The 20,733-nt window shown below is 45.0% G+C and overlaps 1 protein-coding gene across 17 annotated transcripts in view, besides 2 other annotated features; it reads left to right on the top strand.

Annotated features, from left to right (window-relative positions):
* The window catches only part of CDK5RAP2 (CDK5 regulatory subunit associated protein 2), a 191,293-nt gene that overhangs the window by 164,789 nt on the left and 5,771 nt on the right, over positions 1-20,733 (top strand). For 10 of the 17 annotated variants that reach the window (NR_073558.2, NR_073556.2, NR_073557.2 and 7 more), the window contains 8 exons: positions 220-339; positions 3,905-4,021; positions 6,063-6,252; positions 6,911-7,032; positions 8,131-8,367; positions 11,266-11,343; positions 12,308-12,573; positions 14,494-14,637. Coding sequence is in view for 12 of the 17 variants with exons in the window: in NM_001272039.2 (NP_001258968.1) it covers positions 220-339; positions 3,905-4,021; positions 6,063-6,252; positions 6,911-7,032; positions 8,131-8,367; positions 11,266-11,343; positions 12,308-12,573; positions 14,494-14,637 (1,274 nt within the window). In the remaining 5 variants the exon portion in view is untranslated. The remainder of the gene's footprint in view (positions 1-219; positions 340-3,904; positions 4,022-6,062; positions 6,253-6,910; positions 7,033-8,130; positions 8,368-11,265; positions 11,344-12,307; positions 12,574-14,493; positions 14,638-20,733) is intronic. The other 7 variants (XM_047423589.1, XM_047423587.1, XM_017014923.2 and 4 more) reach the window with 2 other exon arrangements.
* Positions 2,677-3,473: an enhancer, noted in NCBI's record as "NANOG-H3K27ac hESC enhancer chr9:123174184-123174980 (GRCh37/hg19 assembly coordinates)". NCBI's record gives its function as "activates a minimal SCP1, AML or CMV promoter by ChIP-STARR-seq in primed H9 embryonic stem cells {active_cell/tissue: H9 hESC(primed)}" and the evidence as "EXISTENCE:reporter gene assay evidence [ECO:0000049][PMID:30033119]".
* Positions 12,009-12,977: an enhancer, noted in NCBI's record as "H3K27ac-H3K4me1 hESC enhancer chr9:123164680-123165648 (GRCh37/hg19 assembly coordinates)". NCBI's record gives its function as "activates a minimal SCP1, AML or CMV promoter by ChIP-STARR-seq in primed H9 embryonic stem cells {active_cell/tissue: H9 hESC(primed)}" and the evidence as "EXISTENCE:reporter gene assay evidence [ECO:0000049][PMID:30033119]".

Genomic DNA, 20,733 nt, shown 5'->3' with positions numbered 1-20,733 from the left:
TATCTTCCTCATGGAGGGCTGCAGAGAATCATTACAGAAGTGTGTCTGTGGGCTGTGGGAAATAGCTCACCCTCCCCATGCCTAGGAAAGAATTGCCAGTTGCTAACCATCTTAACACATCCAATACTGTTTGGAATTTCAGGATCCCTGCATAATCCATAAATTATTCAATTTGTTGGGGGTTCAGACTTTAAATTAAAAATGGCTTCCTTCCTGTAGACTTACTAATGGAACACATACAGGAAATTCGAACTTTGAGAAAGCGTTTAGAAGAATCTATTAAAACAAATGAGAAGCTACGGAAACAGTTGGAACGGCAAGGATCTGAATTTGTTCAAGGTAAGGAAAGACCTTCCTGGAGGACTGTACATGTCTGTGAGTGCTTCACTGTGACGCATTTGCCTGAGTAAGCATCTGTGTACAAAGCAGGTGCTTGATAAATGTTCATTTTTCCATCTTGGAGAAGTCTGCCAGCCTCTGGCATCCTGAATTGTGACTGGCATCTCATTTAACTTTGGAAGCTGGAGAGAAATAGATAGGAATTTTAAGATAAAACAAAGCAATATATTGTCTTTTCATCTATAATGGATTATAAAAATATCAGCATTTTAGCAATCTGGTAAATTTCACATGCCAGTCTAAAGATCACACATATTCCTGCATAAACACAGTTAGCTCCGAATAGAGTGATCGTCCATGAAGAACTTAAAAACATTACCGCCCACTCCCCGCCACCCCGCTGGCATAGGTAAGACATTCATGTGCTTCAAAAAATTTAAACCTCCATTCTTTACCCATTAACCCTGTTTTCCCTTCCTTCTTCTCCACTTTTTTCTTTTCTTCTGTATCCTTAACAGTGTTTTTTTAAATGCAAATACCAGCATATATTCTTACTCTTCTCTTCATCCCAGAGGTAACGTACTCTATATCCATGATTCTGTCCATTTGTCATGGAGCAGTAAATCTTGGACATCTTTCCTTATTGCTCTAGAGAGAGTTCCTCATTCCGTAAAGCATGTATCTTGAAAGCAGCTTGGCGCACTCAGAAAAGCCCGAGTTTGTCTGGTTGAACTGGCCGGAGTGTGGACCCTGCTGTCCCATTTATTAGCTTTGTGACGTTGAGCAATATACTCATTTCTCCCAGTCTTAATTGTTTCATAGAACAGGGTCATTGCGAGATTAAATGAGGCAATGTTATGAGTAGGGCCTTGCTCAGTGCCTCACTCAGTAAATGGTTGCCTTTATCATCATTATCAATTTTATTTTACTATTTTATTCTGTATAACGTTGCAAAGCTCTGCAATGGGCAGGGACTCTAATGTCATTCCCATTTTTAGAGATGGTAGAATTGAGTTCTGGAAAGATAGTGCCCCATGGCAGCAGCACCCGAGTCCTTGGACCCTTGTCCAGGTCTCATTCTTCTCTAGCCATCATAGCTACCAGCCGGGAGGGACATCTTTCCCAAGTACCGTGCATGCTGCAGCTTGCAAGGGAAACCGAATGGCTCCATCTCGCCCTCTCCCTCCCTCCTCCTTCCCTCCTCCCTCCTCCCTCCTCCCTCCTCCCTCCTCGCTCACTGCGCCCATTTCCTGCATATACCCCCCTCACCCTCAGGGAAATTGATTGATCTGAGTTATTAGTTGTATCAAACACAGGAAAGAAATACACGCCTGGGCCCTTCACATTCACTCTTGGTAATGCCTGAATTAGATTCATTCTGTTTTACATTTTCCCTGGCAAATCCAATTATAGAATTATTTGGGGGCTCAAATGGCCACCAGCTACAATGGAGCAGACAATTGCTCTGGAGAGTAATTCACTCTGACGGGAAGGTTTACAAAAGCATTCATAAAGTATTTACACTGGTGGAAAGACGTGCTGTTCTCACCATGTTGTCACAATGTCTGAAAAGACAAAGGAATACAAAGGAATAAAAGTGGCTCCGCCTCCCCCTGCTGTGAAATGTTTACCTTGGGGAGCAGGCCTGAGAAAGGTATGGCTTCTTACAATATCGAGGTGGAATATTGTTAAAAACCGGCCTCTCATGTGTTAGAGCTTCCAGCTTGTCACTACTTGTACAGGCTGATAGTGATGACCCTCAGAGGAAAGAATGGCCTCCTAGCATCGGAAGTGGATCTCACTAGCTCAGGTTTAGGTCGGTCAGGAACTGTTCTTTGGCCTATTTCTTTGCCAAGAAATACTGCCTCCAAAGCTACCACCTTAGCTTTGGTTGTGGTAGACTTCTGTAGATTTTTTCCTGCTGTTCACATTACTTTTTGGTGCTATTTTGGGTCCAGTCTATCATTAATTGTTTTAGTAATACAAATGGTAATAGCAGTAACTTTTTATTGAGTTAATGGAGACTTAGGGAAGTGATGCGATTTGCCTGAGGTCATGCAGCTATTAAGCCAGAGCCATGGTTCAAACCCAGGTGTCTCTGAAAAGATACCAGAGTTCGCAGGGGAGAGTGGAGGAAGATGGTGGGGTGAGACATAGTGAGTAAAACAATTAGATAACCTTGCGGTAAGTGAATCATTAACATGAGAAAAAGGTAGTGCTGTAGAGTGGAAGGACTGTCAGCTCCTTGGAGAACTGATGCCGTACCTTCCCTACAAGGAGTTTGAATAGGATAGGTATTCAGTTGTGTGCCAGGATGCTTTCAGCTGCAGACAACAGAATGGGAGTAGCAACTGATGGTAACAACAGGGATTTGTGTTTTCTCATGTAACAAGAAACCCAGAGGCAGGGAGTTCCAAGGCAGGTTTATGGCTCAGTGACAGCAAAGTTTGGATTAGTATCTGTGATGACTGCAGTAGTACAAGCATTCCAGTCTCTCAGACAGCGTCCAGAGCATGGGAAAGAAGAAGGTGGGGCTTTTTCCTGTCCTCTTTTCATCCTGGTGGAAAATCTTTCCCAGAAGCTCCCAGCAGACTTCCTGTCAGGCCCAATTGGCCAGAGGTGGCACGTGACCATGTCCTCACTGCAGGGTGGCTAGGAAAGCAGGAATCTGGCATTTTGGCTCTGTGGTGTAGTAAGTGGACTCAGTGAGTGTGGAGGACAGGGAGGGAAGCATCTGTCTGCCACATAGAGAAGGCACCTTGCACACAGTAGGCACTTTCCTGAGGGTGGCCGTGAATGTGAATGTTACCTGTGAAATAGAGGTATCTAGACAGAGAAGTTGGCCCTTGTGTTTTGTTGTGTGATTGTCTTTTGCCATGATGGGCCATCAGATGTTTTTGAGTAGAGAGTAACTTAAATGGAATTTGTTTAGGATAATAACCCCATTGGCAGAACAGCCGGGAGGCAAGGTTAGAGAGTAAAGTGATAAGGCCTGAACTTTAGGACGGAAAAGAGTAGGCCAGTGTTGGAAGCATTTTGGAGGAAGCAGCAGCAGTCATGATTGCTTGACTGGGCAGTGGAAGAGAAAGGGGTTTAGAATGGCTCCCAGCTTTCTAGCTTAGGTTAGGGATTGTGGCGATACCATCTCCTGAGGCAGGAAACAGGTGAGAGAGAGCAGGTTTGGAAGGATAAGGAGTTCAGCTTTGGCTCTGAGGACTGAGTGACAGAGCTGCCTCAGTGGTGAGGCGCGGCAGGCAGCTGGATATGAATTTTGACCTCGGGAAAGACATCTGTGAAGGTGAAGACTCTCACTCACTCATCCCACTCCTGGCCCAGGTCTTCTGCTTTGTTCTCCCTTAGGTAAGATGTGGGGGAGCCCTTCCTGCCCCCTCTTTCAAGCTTACTCTCATTTCTCTTTGGCTTCTGGTAATTCCTAACATAGTTAACAGGAGGGATTTTCATTGTATGTTGTGTTAACTCTTTGTTTAAAACTGCTTTCTAGAAAGTTCTGTCTATACTGATCTGGAGACTGTTTATAAATCAGTTTTTATGTGTGTTTTTATAGGTTCTACAAGCATTTTTGCTTCTGGTTCAGAGCTTCATAGTTCTCTAACATCAGAAATTCATTTCTTGAGGAAGCAGAACCAGGCCCTCAATGCAATGCTCATTAAAGGATCCAGAGGTAAGAGTTAAAGGAGTCACTGGAAGTCTGGAACGCCAAAGCCTTCTGTGTCATGGAAAGAATGCAGGCATTGGAGTCTGACCAACCTAAGTATGAATCCTGTGGCTCTGTGATGGCTTTACACCATTTAATTGTCACAGCAGCCCTGTGAGGTGTTTCTGTTTTATAGCTGAGAATACTGGAATCAGAGAGGTTCAGGAATATCTCATAGGGCTGTTGTGACAGTTGAACGGTGTAAAGCTCTCAGCACAGTGTCTCTAATAGGGGCTCAGTAAATGTTACTTTATTTGCTTGTCACTCATCTCCCCTGTAGCCACGTGTCTCTCATCCTAGTTCACAGTGGAAGAAAGAAGGGCTGGAAATATAATACTGCCAAAATCTCAATTAGTGATTTCCTACTATCAGCAAAGTTTATCCTGTACTTCTTATAAAGATCGCTTGTCTTAATTCCTTCTATTTGGAGCTTGGCTCCCAAAGAGCTTTCACTTACATTATCTTTCACTACTGAAAACAGTTCTGGGATGAGGTATCATTAGCCCTATTTGACAGGTGAGAAACTGAGGCCTAGGGAATTGCCTGGCCTGTGGTCACAGAGCTAGAATGTGGTAGAGCTAGAACTTGGGCCAGCTTATCCCACTTTTCCTAAAAGGATATTGATGCTCCTTTTGGCTTAAGAGATGAAATTGGGGCCTCTGTCAGTCACTCATTCACTCAGCAACATTTCCTATCTCCTGTGTTACTTCAGGGCCGTGTAGACTGTGATACAGAAACGGATGAGATTTCATCCCTTCCCTCAGGGAGCTCATAGTCTGATGGGAGAGACAGCCAAACAATCTTGGCAGACCAGTGTGAACCTCAGCCACGATAAAGTTAGGCTCTGGGAACTGCAGGACCCTGGAGAAGGCATCCTGACTCAGGAAAAGCTTGCCTTCAAGAACGGAGGATGAGGAGGGCTTAGCGAAGGTGCTGAAGATTGAGAGGAGCCAGGGCCTTTTAAATAGAAGGAAGAGAGCAGACAAAGTCCCAGGGGTTAGCAATGAGGAGAGTCTAGGCCGTTCAGGAAGGGTAGGCAGCATGATGTGTCTGGCGCTTGAGGGAGGAGGTGAATGCTTGCTTAGAAATTATCTTGTTGTGTTTAAGAATGGAATCAGACTGAGTCCGAATTCTGGTTCTGCCACCTACTGGCTGTGTGACCTTAGGGAAGTCTCTTATCTGGAAAACGGAGAATAATAGTGCCTGCCTTGGAAGTCGGCCCTGGAGATTAAATAGGGCGATGCATGAGAAGGCCCTAATGTCACACCTGCACAGGTAGTGCTGGTGCAGGTCAACTGTTACCACCACCAGCACTGCTGGGAACTCGTCCTTATGAAGCTTCCAGCCCCCAGAGTGCTCCTGACTCCCTGTGATAAACCCTTTATAGATGGCATCTCAGTGAATCCACACAATAACACATGTAAGGAAACAGGCGTGGAGAAGTGAAGAGCCTCACTCAAGGTTATGAAGTCAGTAAATGGAGAAGCTGCTCTTGAATGTGGCCTCTCTGTCCCCAGCCCCCTGCTTTTGACCACAGTGTCTCTTGTGCCTCTGGGTGTATTTTATTCCTCAGGAGAGGTGCTGTCCTCAGCCTGAGGAGTGAATGGGCCTCAAGGTGCCATCTGCACAGCCCTGCCGGCCTCCTGGTGCTAGGCTGGTAGAAGGCCTGCGGCCAGGCCAGCACCCATTCCCAGAGTTCTGGGCCCTGTGTTTTCCTCTGTACTTCCTACCCACTGTTTGCTCTGTGAAGGCAAAGTAACTAGGTTTGCATGGCCTGTTCTTTAATAGAAAATTAAACAGGCCCATTTTATCCCAGTGACGTTTAATCTGCAGCCTTGATGTTGACAAATTTATCTGCCCAAAGTGTGTAAGATAATTGGAATGCCAAAATCATAAATGCCAGATCGAATCTCATTCTTTTTTGTATTCTTGAAGTGCTGTATTTATATAATAAGGTTGGAAAAAACAAATGGTGGCCCTTCTCAGTGGCACCTTTTTATGTTTGCAGATAAACAGAAGGAGAATGACAAATTACGAGAGTCCCTCTCCAGGAAGACCGTGAGCCTGGAGCACCTTCAGCGGGAGTATGCCAGCGTGAAGGAAGAAAATGAAAGGCTGCAGAAAGAAGGCAGCGAGAAGGAGAGACACAACCAGCAGCTGATCCAGGAGGTCCGCTGCAGCGGCCAGGAGCTGAGCAGGTAGTGGCTGTGCTTCCCTGGTGGCCTGCTGGCCGTACCACGCATGCAGGCACTGGGCTGCAGTCGTGGAATCAGCACGCAGGCCTCTGCCTTAGTGCACAGTGGCAGGCAGTAGACACAAACACATTGTACGTCTGGTGCGCCTACAACATATGGAGAAAGATCCTGTAAGGAGGAGAGGGCTTGGCAGTGGGTTGCTGTTTTTTGTCAAGGGTGAGTCAGGGAAGGCCTTTGTGAAAAGATGCCATTTGCTCAGAGAGCTGAATGCAGTGAGGAGGTGAGTGCTGCAGCTACCTGGGAAAGATCATTTCAGGCAGAATGGGCGCAGGCCCTGAGGCAAAGTGGCTTAGGCCTGTGCCGGACAGAGCAGGGCAGTGTATCTGGAGAGGGGGCTGGCAGGATACCAAATCACATCGGGCTGCAGAGTCAGTGTGAGGACTTTGGGTTTTCCTCTGAGTGGCATGGGAAGCCACTGGGAGATTCTGAGCAGAGGAGTGGAATTAGGATTAGAGAGCACATGGAATTCTTAACCATGCTTGTCACTTCTTGGTCCACACTCTTGTGACTGAGGGTGGAATTGGCCTGCTCTGTGGGGTTTGAATAAGTTACCCTGAGGTAGAATTAACCTGTCCTTCTCATGCCTGTGGGGCCTTCTCAGGGTGCAGGAGGAGGTGAAGTTGAGGCAGCAGCTGCTCTCACAGAATGACAAGCTATTGCAGTCTCTCCGAGTGGAGCTGAAGGCGTATGAGAAGCTGGATGAAGAGCACAGGAGACTGAGAGGTACTGAGGCCCTTCTCACCTTGAGGCTACTGTGCTTTGGGCTGTAAGACCACCCGACAGCTGGCTGTAGGCACAGGAGGGCAGAGCTCAGCCCTCTCCACTCTGGCCTTGTGGGTAGAGTGGATGGGTGTTGAAGCTAGCTCTTTGACCCACTCTTCTTCTGAAGGAACAGCAGGAAACATAGAAGGACTGAGGCTCAGCACCCAGGCCAGCCGAGGTCCGGGTTCCCACTCACTTGTTCCCAGCTATGTGACCCTCAGTAGGCCACTTCACCCTTTGAGCCCATACCTATCTCTGTAAAACATGTCTCTCAGCACCTGTTGTGTGGAGAATTGTGTTGAAAATTGAATGAGACCATTTATTAAAAGCATCCTAGCAAGATACCTGACACATAGTAGGCACCCAGGAAATGACCTTTATTATAATCGTCCTGCTAGTATATGTTACTTTTTGCCCACTCATTCAGCAAACATTTATGGACACCTCTCACGTGCTGGGCATTGCTCTGGGGATGGTTGTTGGCCTCGTTGCTCTCTGTATCCCAGGAGAGATACCAGCTCAGAGTGCTTCAACTATAACGTCTAATGTTTCAGAATCAATTTTGAGGTGTGGTGAGGTGTTTTTTTTTTTTTTTTATTTTACTAATTTTCCAGATGGTTTCTCTCTATTGAAAGTTTATCTAGAAAGGGGTCATCTCACAGCTTTTATTTTCTCCTCAACTTGCTTTTTTTATTCTTGCTGTTGTGTCTTTTTAATATAGTGTGGCTCTTAAAATCATCCCCTTTCATTCTATAATTCTAGCCCAAATAGATTTTATTACTACTAGACATAATTTCGGGGTTTGGTGTGCAATTTGCTAGGCTTTTATGGCCAGAAGCGAAAATTAATTTCCAGCTCTTATTTAGCGTGTGGAATAGCAGCAATTAAGTCTGCCAATATTTTTGTTTCTAAAGTCAAGTTGTTATTTTAAACTGTACCTAGTTCTTAGGAAGGGGGAGGGCGATGGTGGTGGTGAGTGTAAAATGCGATTGAGTTCCTTCGATGGCTGACCCTTTGGTTGTGGAAGATGTCAGGGCTTCTCTTTGCACATGTCCTCAGAGGCGTCGGGAGAAGGCTGGAAGGGGCAGGATCCTTTCAGGGACCTGCACAGCCTCCTGATGGAGATCCAGGCTCTGCGCTTGCAACTAGAAAGGAGCATCGAAACCAGCAGCACTCTGCAGAGCAGGCTCAAGGAACAGCTGGCAAGGGGGGCAGAGAAGGCACAGGAAGGAGCCCTCACTCTGGCTGTCCAAGCCGTGTCCATCCCTGAGGTGCCCCTTCAGCCTGACAAACACGGTACTGCCCCTGCCTCTCCCCACTTGCTGAGAATGCAGCTCTGAGCATCTGTGTGTGACATGTGAACTTCTGAATGATGCCTTTGCCCCACAGAGGTGTCTTTCCATTGATAGCTGACATGCTGTACCCTAGGAGCCAGGGGACCTGACTGCTAATTAATTAGCGGTCACCTTGGGCAAAGTGGCGTAATCTCCATCTGAGGCATCTTGATTCTCAGGGAAGTGGAATTTGGACTTCCAGACACCCTCAGTGCCTCTGGCCTTGCTCCCTCCTATCCATTTAGTCCTGCCTGCATCACTTTGATGCTGAAATTTCTTTTAGTTTCTCTTACTGCCTTTAGAAGGGAACCTAAACATCTTAATCTGGCTTTCAGTGTCTTTCAGGATCTGAAAATCATCCTGATAGGTTTAAAAAGTGGATCTGTTTTGCATTTGTGTGCAGGTTAATTGCCTAGCCCTGGAGAGGCTGTGGGGGGTACGAGAAAGAGGACCAGACACCTCTACCACCCGCCCACCCAGGGTGTGGAGCAAACCAGTAAATGGTTAGACTCCAAGCAATCAGGCAGCCTGTCCTCTTTGCTCTAGAGATGAAAAACAAAGGCCCAGAGAGTGGATGGGGCTTGCCCAAAGTGGCACAGCAAGTAGGCAGCAGAGCTGGAGCTAGAAACCATTTCCAGCTTCGAGTCCAGGGCTGTTCCTAAACCCCACTGGACTCTCTGGAGCGTTGGGTATCCTGGGATTATCATCCTGACACCCATAGGGTAAATGTGTGTATCCAGTGGGATGAGGAATGCCAGCCTGCTTTACAAGCAAGTATTGTACTAAAGTTTGGACTGACTTTTACTTGGATACCTCTAGTTAAAAAAATAAAAATAAATCTCTTAAGGAGCACCTGGTCAGTCCGCTCGTAGTGATTAGTTCATTGATTTCTCATTGACAAGGATCTTAAAATTTAATCAAAAAGATGATGTAATAATATGAAAAAAGTGAACAGAGAAAAAAAGTTCATGATTCTACACATTGATCATTTTTTAAAATTTGCATATTTTTTCATTTATTAAATATGAGCATGAATTTATATTTTTCAAATTGGATTTTGTGTCATTGTGTGTCCTTTCTTTGTTTTTGCCCAATATTACATCATACATGTTCCCTGTGCTTTCACATGGGCTTCCTAATGATTGTTTGCAGGCTATTCTCAGTCACCAATCCATGACCCCGTTGATTTATTAAAGTGGTCTCTGATTTGGAGCCATAATAGACATCAATGTTAATATGCTTTTTGCTGTTAAATAATATTCTTAGGAGAAAACCCTACAAGGGGAACCTCATAAGTTTGGAAAGGTGCCATATTGCCACCTTCTAAATAGTCTGTACATCAGCAGTGTACAAAGGTAGTGGTTTTTGTGTGACCTCAGCATTGGGCATTACTATTTTCAACACGGGTCTGCACCTGGCCCTTTTTAAGGCTTTGAGGAGATGGGATTCAGGAACTTGTGGGGTAGGCTAGGGGAGTTTGAAGCAGGGAGAACAGTTCTGTGCTTGGGGTACCCAGGAAGGAGAGTTGGGTAGCTGAAGTGAGGAGGCCATCAAACAGCCTTTACCTGCTTTTGAAATTTGCCGAAAGCAGCCCTCATCATGCCTGGCAAGAGGCATCCAGGAGAGCATTCAGAATTCACAGTGCTGCCTCAGCAGAAAAGTTTTATAATTTCCTTGAGTCAAGATCAGAATTATAGGCAGCAGCATTTCTTCCTTTGCAAAAGACTTCTCAGGTCTGTATTTAAGTGCATCTGTTTTAAAAATTCTGTTCTAAAGGCTGATGTCTTTCACTGAGAGTGATTCCTCTTGGGGCCAGCTCTATGGAGCTGACCTCCTGGCTCCTTGGCCTTAGGAACTGTAGCACACCCCTGGGAAATGCTGGAGTGCAGTCAGCCCACCGCCCAGTGGTGCAGGAGCTCGGAAGGGGGATCCTAAGCCCTAGGCTTCCTTGCTCTGTGCCACTGACATGCTGGGTTATGCTGGACAGATCACTTTCTATCTCTGCCCCTTGGTCTCCCCTTCCATGAAATCTGAATTACAGTGTGTTTTGCCCACTGAGCTATTGAGTCCAATAGCTTTTCATATGTGAAAGTGCTTTCCAAATTATAACGTGTTGCACAGGTCATCTGTACAGCATCTATTGGTTTTGCCTCCTTACAGTGTTGCAAATACATCACCCCCCAGATCCTATTGTGGGTTACTCTCATCTCTAGCTTAGGTTAGTGTGGCAGCCTCCAGACTTACTCTTTCAGTACAAAATACAGACCTCAGCTTGACATTGCCTTGCCCAAAGCCCTTGAGTGGGCCCCTCAGTCCTCTTGGTTCTGGCCTTGCATTCTACTTTGTCCTTCCCTGCACCCGGGCCTTGGGTCTATGAACTGCTTATTTCTCCCTGAGCGATGATTCCACTCTTTGTCCCACTGTCTGCCTCTCACCTGCCCATTGTGCTGCCTGGCATTTCTTTCCCTCCTTCTTACCATAGGTCAGTCACAATCAGTCTTAAAACATAAGGTTTTAAAACGGGTATTAGCCTTTGGGAAGCCAAGTTGGGGGTAGTGCCCCTCACCTGAGCCCCAACAGCCTGTGTTTCCCTCCCTTGTCCTTGATCACACTAAAATAAAATTGCTTATTTACTTTTCTGCTGAGAGTTTTTCTAGGGAATGGACTGGGCCTGGTCACTCTGTCTCCCTGGTGTCCCACAAAGGTGGGCTTGGCAGGACAGAGGCCCAGTGAAGATTTGAAGGAATGCTGTGTGTGTATGGATAAGTGAATGTGAGGGGCTTGACTGTATTCTCTTTCAGTTCTCTCTTGAATGCTGACAACAGTGAAACTAACAGTTCTCGTGTTTTGCATTTTGTAGATGGTGACAAATATCCCATGGAAAGTGATAATTCATTTGATCTGTTTGATTCCTCCCAGGCAGTGACACCAAAATCAGGTACAAAGCTGAAGTCCAGGTAACTGTGGGAGCATTGGATGTGACAGTAAGACTTTTTAACTTGCAGAAAAGGGGGGTCCCTGGTCCCAACTCAGGAGGGTATTTGGTAAGGATTTGGGATTTCAAGTTCTCAGCATCCCCAGCTGGTGATCTTCTCCTTCAAGCCAGTTAATCCACTCCTAGGTGTTACCAAGGTTAGAACATCATTGGGTCCCTCTTGCCTTAGATTAAAATTGTGACCACCTTTGTGAGGCTTTCAAGGCCCTCCAGGATCCAGCTCCAGTGGGTCCGTCCAGCCTTATCCCTTAACCTGGTGTAGCCACACAGGGGTCACCATCCTGCAGACAGGCCCACACTTTCCTCTCACTGTGACTTTTAGACCCCCTTTGTCCCACTCTTTGCCGGTAGAAGTCCCGTTTCCTCAAGACTCATCATGAATACACATTTCTCTGTGACATGCCTTTGCTGCTGTCCTTGGTCAGAATGACTCATCATTCGTGTAATTCTTGCTACTTGCTCAATCCAGTTCAAATGCTGCTCCTTCTCAGAAGCCTTCCCTGTTCTCTCCCTCCCTGCACAGATAATTGTTTTTTCTGGCTCTGGCCCTTCATCACTCTGCTGTTGCACCTTCTGCAGTGTCTGTGTTCTGATCAGACTGTGGGCTACTGGAATGCAGGCACCAGCTTGAGTCATCCTTGTGAATCTGGGGTCTTCTGCCGAGTGGGTGGTTGATAAGTGTTGGTTGAGTTGACTTGAGCCTCTCCTACAAGATGACTCATAAGCCCAGTGTGGGGTAATATACAGAGGTCCAGGAGCGTGCCTCTTTTCCCCTCTGGGCTTGTGTTGGGTGGCATTTGGGCACGAGGGCCTCTTCTAGCCCTCCTAGCTAGCTTCAACATCATAAGCGTCTTGAACGCAGAGTGTTACCTGAAACAGATTTTACATCCTACTTCTCATTTTACAGTTTCAGAGACTCCTCCACTCTCTGGGAATGACACGGACTCCCTCTCCTGCGACAGTGGCAGTTCGGCAACTAGCACTCCGTGTGTGTCCCGCCTGGTCACTGGCCACCACCTGTGGGCCAGCAAGAATGGCCGCCATGTCCTGGGCCTGATTGAGGACTATGAGGCCCTGCTCAAACAGATCAGCCAGGGACAGAGGCTCCTTGCTGAAATGGACATTCAAACCCAAGAGGCTCCCAGCTCCACAAGTCAAGAGCTGGGAACAAAGGTAACCTGACCACAGAGCTGGGGGGCACAAGCTGCTCCCTGGGAGTGTCGGTGGAAGGGGGAGGGGAGTCAAATGGCGCAGTTGTCCTCATTAGGACCCTGAGAAGAGGGACCAGGAAGTGTGGCCTCAGAGAGCTCAGAGGTCAGGTCCAGTGTGGGGAACTATTGGTGGTGGCTGTGTTTGGTGGGGTTTGTGCCTTGTGTTCCTGCAACTGCTCCATGGGCTCTGCTGTCTTGTTCCCATGACGGCCTCTGTACATCTGGTCTCTCATCCATTCTTCTCTCCATCTGCACCCTGGTGTGTCTGTCCATTCATCTGCCCATCCACCTGGCTGTCGCCCATTATGAAGTGGAATTACTAGTTCAAAGGTTGTGAACTTTTTAGGGCTCTTGATGATAACTGTTGCTCCATTACTTTGCAAAACAATTCTATCTCTGTTCATGAACGTTTGTCTCACTACATTTTTGTTTTTGTTGAGGTTTTGTTGTTGTTGTGTTTTTTTTATTTTGAGACAGGATCTAGCTCTGTCACCCAGGCTGGAGTGCAGTGGCGCGATCATGGCTCACTGTAGCTTCGACCCCACCTCCTAGGCTCAAGCAATCCTCCTGCCTCAGCCTCCCAAGTAGCTGTGACCACAGGCGTGTGCCATCACACCTGGCTTTTAAAAAAAATTTTTTTTAGAGACAGGGTCTCACTCTGTTGCCCAGGCTGGCCTCGAACTCCTGGGCTCAAATGATCCTCCCACCTTGGCCTCCTAAAGTGTTGGGATTACAGGCGTCAGCTATCATGCCTGGCAGTATATATATAAAATTTTTTTTTTTTGAGATGGAGTCTCATTCTGTTGCTCAGGCTGGAGTTCAGTGGTGCGATCTTGGCTCACTGCAGCCTCCTCCTCTTGGGCTCAAGTGATTCTCCTCCCTCAGCCTCTTTAGTAGCTGGGATTACAGGCGCCTGCCACCATGCCCGGCTGATTTTTGTATTTTTAGTAGAGACGGGGTTTCACCATGCTGGGCAGGCTGGTCTTGAACTCCTGACTTCAGGTGATCCAACTGCCTCGGCCTCCCAAAGTGCTGGGATAAAGGCGTGAGCCACTGCACCCAGCCCAGATATTTTCATTTATAATGATTTTTTTGTTACTTTGATATCTAAAAAGGATGTGTCTTTTTTCTCTCTTTTTTTTTTTTTTTTTTTTTTTGAGACAGGGTCTGGCCATGTTGTCCAGGCTGGGGTACATGGCATGATTATGGCACACTGCAGCCTTGACCTCCTGGACTTAAGCAATCCTCCCATCCCAGCTTCCTGAGTAGCCAGGACTACAGGTGTGCACTGCCACACCTAGCTAATTTTTTATTTTTTTGTAGAGATGGGGGTCTCACTATGTTGCCTAGGGTGGTCTCGAATTTCTGGGCTTGTATTTCCCCTTTTCTGAGTCACATACATAATTTTCTTGTGCCCTTGATACCGCCCAATTTGAGTTTGCTCTGCCAGCAGTACAAGACCCTGATATCATATTCACTACAGCAGGGCCATTTAACAGGGACCAGTAAAGGCAAACCATTTATTGCTTGCTGTTGGTGTCATTTTCTCTGGGCGAGTCTCTGTGGGTCGCCAAACAGTAAGAATGGCCCTCCCACAGACCCTTTACTTGGAGTAGTAACTGTAGTTAATGCTGGTGGTTATTAACCATGGTGGTTATTAATCATGGTTATTGATTGGGCTAAGATCACCACTGAAATTCTCTCATAATCTACAATTCACCAGTCTTTAAGAACAATAAATTGGTGTTATGTGGTACCAGGCTTTCGCTCAGCGTGTGAAACAGAAGCCCTACAGTCTGGAGATTTATACTGCATGTTAAGGCTTGCTTGTCTAAAATCTTTTTCAAGACTGCACGTAACAGCCTTCATATCCCCCGTGTAGGGTCCACACCCAGCACCACTGAGCAAGTTTGTGAGCAGTGTGAGCACGGCCAAGCTGACCCTGGAAGAGGCCTACAGGCGGCTGAAGCTTCTCTGGAGAGTCTCACTCCCCGAGGATGGCCAGTGCCCCCTTCACTGTGAGCAGGTAGGTGGTGACACATGTTTCAGAGGCTCAAGGATGCCACTGGGGCCTGTGTCTCAGTTTCCTCCATGCCAAGCAGGGGCCCACAGCAGATGTGCCCACCATTTGGGGTATGTATTAGGGAGGAGATGGCACCGTTTGCCATGGCTTCACTGTGTTCTTACTTGATCCGTCCCACACTCCTGTAGCCATGACCCGTCTGAGCGTGTCTTTGTTGAGTAGAATCCCGTCCGCATTCTACACATGAGGGAACCAGGACTCAGGGAGCTGAGGCACTTAGTCAAGGTTAGAACTTGTTTGAAAGGATAAATATTGGAACCCAATGTTTATTCTTTTATTTTATAGGCTCTAAGTCCTAATTTGTCCTCATGGACTAGCTCATTCTTTTCTACTCATCATCTCTTTTATTTTAGGTGCCTTTTTCTGGACCTTCTGATTCCTATCGACAGCTTTCATCATCATATTTGAGTGGACCTTGTTCAAAATCTGTTTTAAGTACTTAGGAATGACAGGCTCCAAACCAGGAGTCAGGCAGAGTAGAAGCTGTCCTCTGATTTCTGTGTGTGGGATGCATGTGGTGTCATGACAAGGTGAACGCCCACTCTGGCTAATCAGAGAAACCTCCCTGGAGGAAGGGACCTGCAGGTTAAGGAAGAGTTAGAACTCTCTGCTTGGTGGTGTGATAGATATTTCACCCTTTGTTTATCTAACCTATCTGTTCTTGCCAAAGGCCAGTAGGAAGGCAGAAGGGAAATTTACATTTTTTGTCATTATCTCATTTAGTTAACCCCCTTTTGACAGCTCTCAGGTCTCTCAAACATGACCATGAAGTAGCAGGTGGGGCAGCTCTCTCTGCTCTGAAGGTTCTAATGAGCCTGTTCTAAGATTTCACTTTTGGGATCCTGGGGACAAAGTTTGGATACACTAAGCTCAGGGAAGTTGATAACTATTCATTCCATAGAAAAATCTTTTTTTGGCCCACGTTTAGCTGGTGGCAGTATCAGGTGGGAGACAGAGTATCAGGGAGGAAGGCTGAGACTCACTGGGGTCCAGCCCCACATTGGTCTTTCCCTTCTTCTAATCCACCAGGTCCTGTTCCATCTTAGGCTTAGGTGACACAGATGGCCTGACTGCCTGGAGTGTCCCATGTCCTGCTTCTGGCTGGCTCCTTCTCACCTTTCAAGTCTTAGCTTAAATATTACCCCAGAGTCAGAGAGGGCTCCCTGATTCCTCCATCATAGCATCCTCTTCTGTTTCATCATAGCCTTTCAACAAGTTATAATTGTATATTTGTTTAATGCCTGTCTTCCTCTATTTTCCTTCAGAGGATGGTGTCTGTTTTATTTATATTTTTTGAATGAACCAGTGATTTTTTTTCTATACACCCAAAGTAGTGCCTGCCTCATATGATTTTAACATAAACATGTCTGAACTGAACAGTTGACCCTTAATGCAATGTTTTTATCCTTAGCACATTGTAGTAACTGTTACATAGACAGAAATACAGCTCATACACTTACATATAAAATATATATACACACAAAAAAAGTTATAGCCACATTGATTCTTCCCTACTTGCAAATCATTCCAGGAGTGGTTGGTGCTCCTGAGTACCCCTTTCCTTCCAAAGGTTTCTTGAGTAATTGATTATGCTCACTCTGATGTCATGGAATTGTGCCAGAAAAAGGACCTTTGAGATGCTCCGATGTGGTTGCTGGGGTACATACCCCCTGTGTAGTGTTAAATTGCCTCTAGCCACTTTTCTGTCACTGCTGTGTTTCATACAGTGCCTTTGCTTGGTGTGAAATGTGTGTAATGCTGATTTCCATTTCCAAGTTTTCACCAACAACCCAGGGGTTTTTGAACTATCTGGTTTTCTCTTGAGTGTTATTAATTGCCTTTTACATTTAGTATACCATCCCATGTAGTCTGGACTGCTCTGGAAAGTGTGTATCATGTGCACCAGTTGTGTGGAGGGGTACAAATGTACACACATACTTGTTTATAATAATTTTTTTAAATGGAGGATAAACAATAACAAACCAGGCTACATATAGTAATGGAAGGGGAGAGATTGGAGTAACAGATAGAAGGTAGATTTCTCTGAATAGACCTTGTTTTGTAGATTTGACTTAGCAAGTATATAAATGCATTACATGATTATAAAAAATCAAAATGAGAAAACAATTCCTAAAAATTCTTGGCAAGATGAAACAAACCTTACTGTATATGGCAATGTAGGCATAACAACACAAAAAGGAAGCATTTCAGTGACTAAAGCATAGTAATTTGACCACACATTTCTAGTAGAAGTATTCTAAGGGCAAGAAAAAAATTTAAACTCTTGTTAATGGTTATATTTTTAGTAGTAATATTGATATTCATATTCTGAATTATTATATTTCTATTATAAGATAAAGCAAATACTTTTATTGGGAACTGATTTTTTACTGTAAGGAAAAAGAGATAAGAAATCAAAGAAATAACCCTGTAATCCTAAATTTGAATAGCACATATCAGAATGAACTTGTGATGTATTATCATCCATTAAAAGAATTTTATGAACTTTGTCAACATACAAGGCTTTAGAAACAATGTCTGTTCTAGCACCAGTGAGTGCCCTTGATGCCCAAATTATGGTTTCTAGATACCTTTGCCCGCTAAAGGGAACTAGGGTTCCCTTGGAGAAATGGGTTGTTGCTAGGTCTGGGGCAGGAGATGTACAGTATGAGCCTAGAACGTATTTCATCCTAGTAAGAAAGGATCCAGCGTGGGGAAAGAGGGAGAGAACCCTATGGATTTACAGTGGTTCCCATAAGTGTGGGCCCTGGACCTGCAGCATCTGCATCACCTGGAAACTTGTCAAAAATTCACCTTCTCAGGCCTCACACCAAACCTGCTGAATCAGGAACTCTGAGAGTGCACCCCAGCAGTCTGTTTTTGTAGCCCTCTAGGTAGGTTTGAGAACCACTGGATTTAAAGAAACTCAAGAGATAATCAAATGCAAAACATGGATCTTATTTGCATCCTGAATTGAACCAATTGTTTAGAAAAGAAAATTATGAAGCAATCAGGGAAGTGTGCTCACTGACTGGATGTGGTGATACTAAGGAATTACTGCCTTTTTTTTTAAGGTGTCATAATGATACTGTGTTGGGCTTTTTTTTTTTTCTTTTTTCTTTTTTTTTTTTTTTTTTTTTAAGAATGTTTTTATGGCCGGGATGGTGGCTCATGCCTGTAATCCCAGCACTTTCAGAGGCCAAGGTGGGAGGATCACCTGAGGCCAGAAGTTTGAGAGCAGCCTGAGCAACATAGTAAGATGCTGTCTTTATTTAAAAAAAAAAAATCTTCTAGAGAGATCTAGTAAAATATTTTATAGATGATACAATTGGATTCTAAGGTTGGTTTCAGAATCATCTTGGGGAGAAGATGGGCAGGAATGTAGTAGAGGTAAGTATGGCCATGAATTGATCATTGCTGAAGCTGGATGGGCACTTGGGCGTTCATTATCCAGTTCTTTCTGCTTTCGTAAATGTTTGAGATTTTTTTCACCATAAAAAGAAAACAAGCAAAAATTCCTGTCCCCGAAGTCAGGCAGAACACTGACGAGGAAGCCTGAGGCCTCCTGGGAGGGAGTGGCTTCAGCACTGCAGCTCTGTGGCCCTCAGGAAGGGTTCTTCTGGTGACCTCCTGCGGACACTGGGCATGCTGCTTACACCCAGCATCTCATTTGATCCCTTGCGGAAATCTTGAGGGAGTTAGCTGTGATTCTTCCCTTTTTCCAGAGGTAGGAATGGAAACTCCAAGAGATTAAGTGACTTGCTTCAGCGTCATATAGCTGGGGAGTGGTGGAGCTGTACTTTGAGCCCCTGCTGTTGCTACCATGGAATATTCATCCTATAAAATGAAGATTTGAATCCAGGGGAACAACAGACATGTAAACAATTAAAATTCCCTGTTGTAAGTACTGGATAGAATATATACAGGATGTTAGGAGAGCACTAGTGAAAATTAATCCACCATGAGTGGGTAAATGGTGTCACAGCACCTACTCTGCGCCAGACACTGGTGGTTAGAGGGAGGAAATGAGTGTGTGGTCAGTACAGGAAGCAAACAAGTAAAGGACCAGTCACTCCAGTGTGCCATGGGCGGTGATGGGGAGACACTGAGCCCCGGGGCACCCAGAGGAGCAGTAGCCATCCTAAAAGAAGTGCCAGGTCAACTTCCTGGAAGAGGTGAAACCTGAGCTGACTTTAGAACAAGGAATGGGTCAGCCAGGCCAAGTTGGAAATGATCATTCCCACTGTCTTCCATTATCTCATTTGAGTCTCACTCTACTGCAATGTGATAGCTGGATCAGGGATGATTATTCCGATTTTACAGATGTGGGACTAAGGCGTTGACTGTAGAGAGACTTTGTCCTGGAATGTGTGGCCTCTGGAGCCATGACCAGAACCTAAGTCTTTGTGAGCTCTTAGCCCCAAGGAAAAGAATCAAAGCAAACCTAATGTTTAAAATTAGGATCTGTTTGGGAAGAACTGTCAAAGTCCTTGTACCTGACATGACTGGTTAATCTTAAAAGTAGGTTAAGTCAGGGAATCAAAAATGATATGTACCTTAAACATTTTAGTTTAACTTAAAACAGATAAATGTACATTCATTTGCCATTCTTTTGATGTAGGGCCAGGGCCTTTTCTTTTGAATATGGGTCTGCTGATTGGAGTTTCACATCTTCTTTCTTTCATAAACTGCATCCATAATGTATGTCTGTCACTTCCAATTTCTGTTTCTTTAAGATGAAGAGAAAACTTAGACACTTGCAAAGCAATTTGAATATAGAATTCTTCTAGACTGTGTTCCTCCCACATCTTTTATAGTTGTCTCACCCACACCTAATTTGCCAGAAATGTGTTTTTTAGTGACTTGCTTTTATCAAGTCTTTCCTGAAGCATATGTTAGTTTTCATACAACCAGTTCTCTCTTTTAATACACATATTTCATGGGCTTACTTAATATTTAATTAAATTATGCAATTTGATTACAAGTACAGCTACCATAAACAAGTTTGGGAACAAACTAAAGTGACTCTTCGTGAGCTGACAACTCACCAGCTCTCCTGTTGGAAGCAGAAGTGTTTCGGCGCAGCAGAGAGCGGCCTGTGCCACGGTGCTTTTCTGACAGAAAGGGAGTGTCCTTCCCCCTGGGAGCTGGTTTGGTGGAGACTGGCTCAGAGGGCTCCGCCGTGCATGTATGTCACCTCAGAGCACTGGGGACTCTGGTTTTGCCACCCATCCAGAGTTTACTCTGGAAAACCAGAAGAGTTTCTTCTAATGGAGCATACTTTCCTAGTAATACTTTTATATGATCTTTTGAAGATTTAAACATTGAAAAGTTTTTAAAATCAGCATTATAGTTTTTGTAAAAGAAAAAGATCACGCAATTTGAAATCATAGCTCATGGAGAGAATTGCTGTTAACATTTTGATGACATCTCAATATACACATCTATGGATGTGGGCGTTTATATTCAGTTTTGTGGAACAGGAATGCCTTTTATACAGGACGTGTTGTTCTGGGCTCTTTTGTCACTAACTGTGATCATTTTTTGATATCAATGCATAGAGCTCTACAACGTCATTTTTAATAGTTGCTAAATTATTGTATTATATGTAAGTACCATAATTTATCCAGATCTATACTGAAATCAGGTTATTTTTTCCTACCATGAACAATGCTGAGACGAACATCCTTGTACATAGGCATCTTCTTGTGCTTATGTTATTATTCCTTGGGGGAAATGCCAGCGTGTAGAATTGCTGGGGCAAAGAGTTAAGCGCATCTCAGTTTGGTAGATCTTGCCAGGGCGTTCTCACTGGGCCATGCCATCCCGCACTTCCACCAGAGGTCACGAGGTGCTTTCCCCTTACCCTCAATGAGTTTTGTCCAATTTTGCCTTTTCCTGGTTGTCAGGAAAAGGCTTCTAGTTTCCATTCAAATATTTTTGCTAGTGAGGTTGAGCATCATCTTTTTATATGGCTTTGTAATTCTTCCTGTGTAACATGATGTTTATGTTCTTTGTTCATTTTTCTAATTTCTCTTC

This window comes from Homo sapiens, chromosome 9 (assembly GCF_000001405.40).
Source record: "Homo sapiens chromosome 9, GRCh38.p14 Primary Assembly".
NCBI lineage: Eukaryota > Metazoa > Chordata > Mammalia > Primates > Hominidae > Homo > Homo sapiens.
The sequence above is the reverse complement of the archived record's forward strand: the minus strand, read 5'-3'. Positions and strand labels throughout refer to the sequence as shown.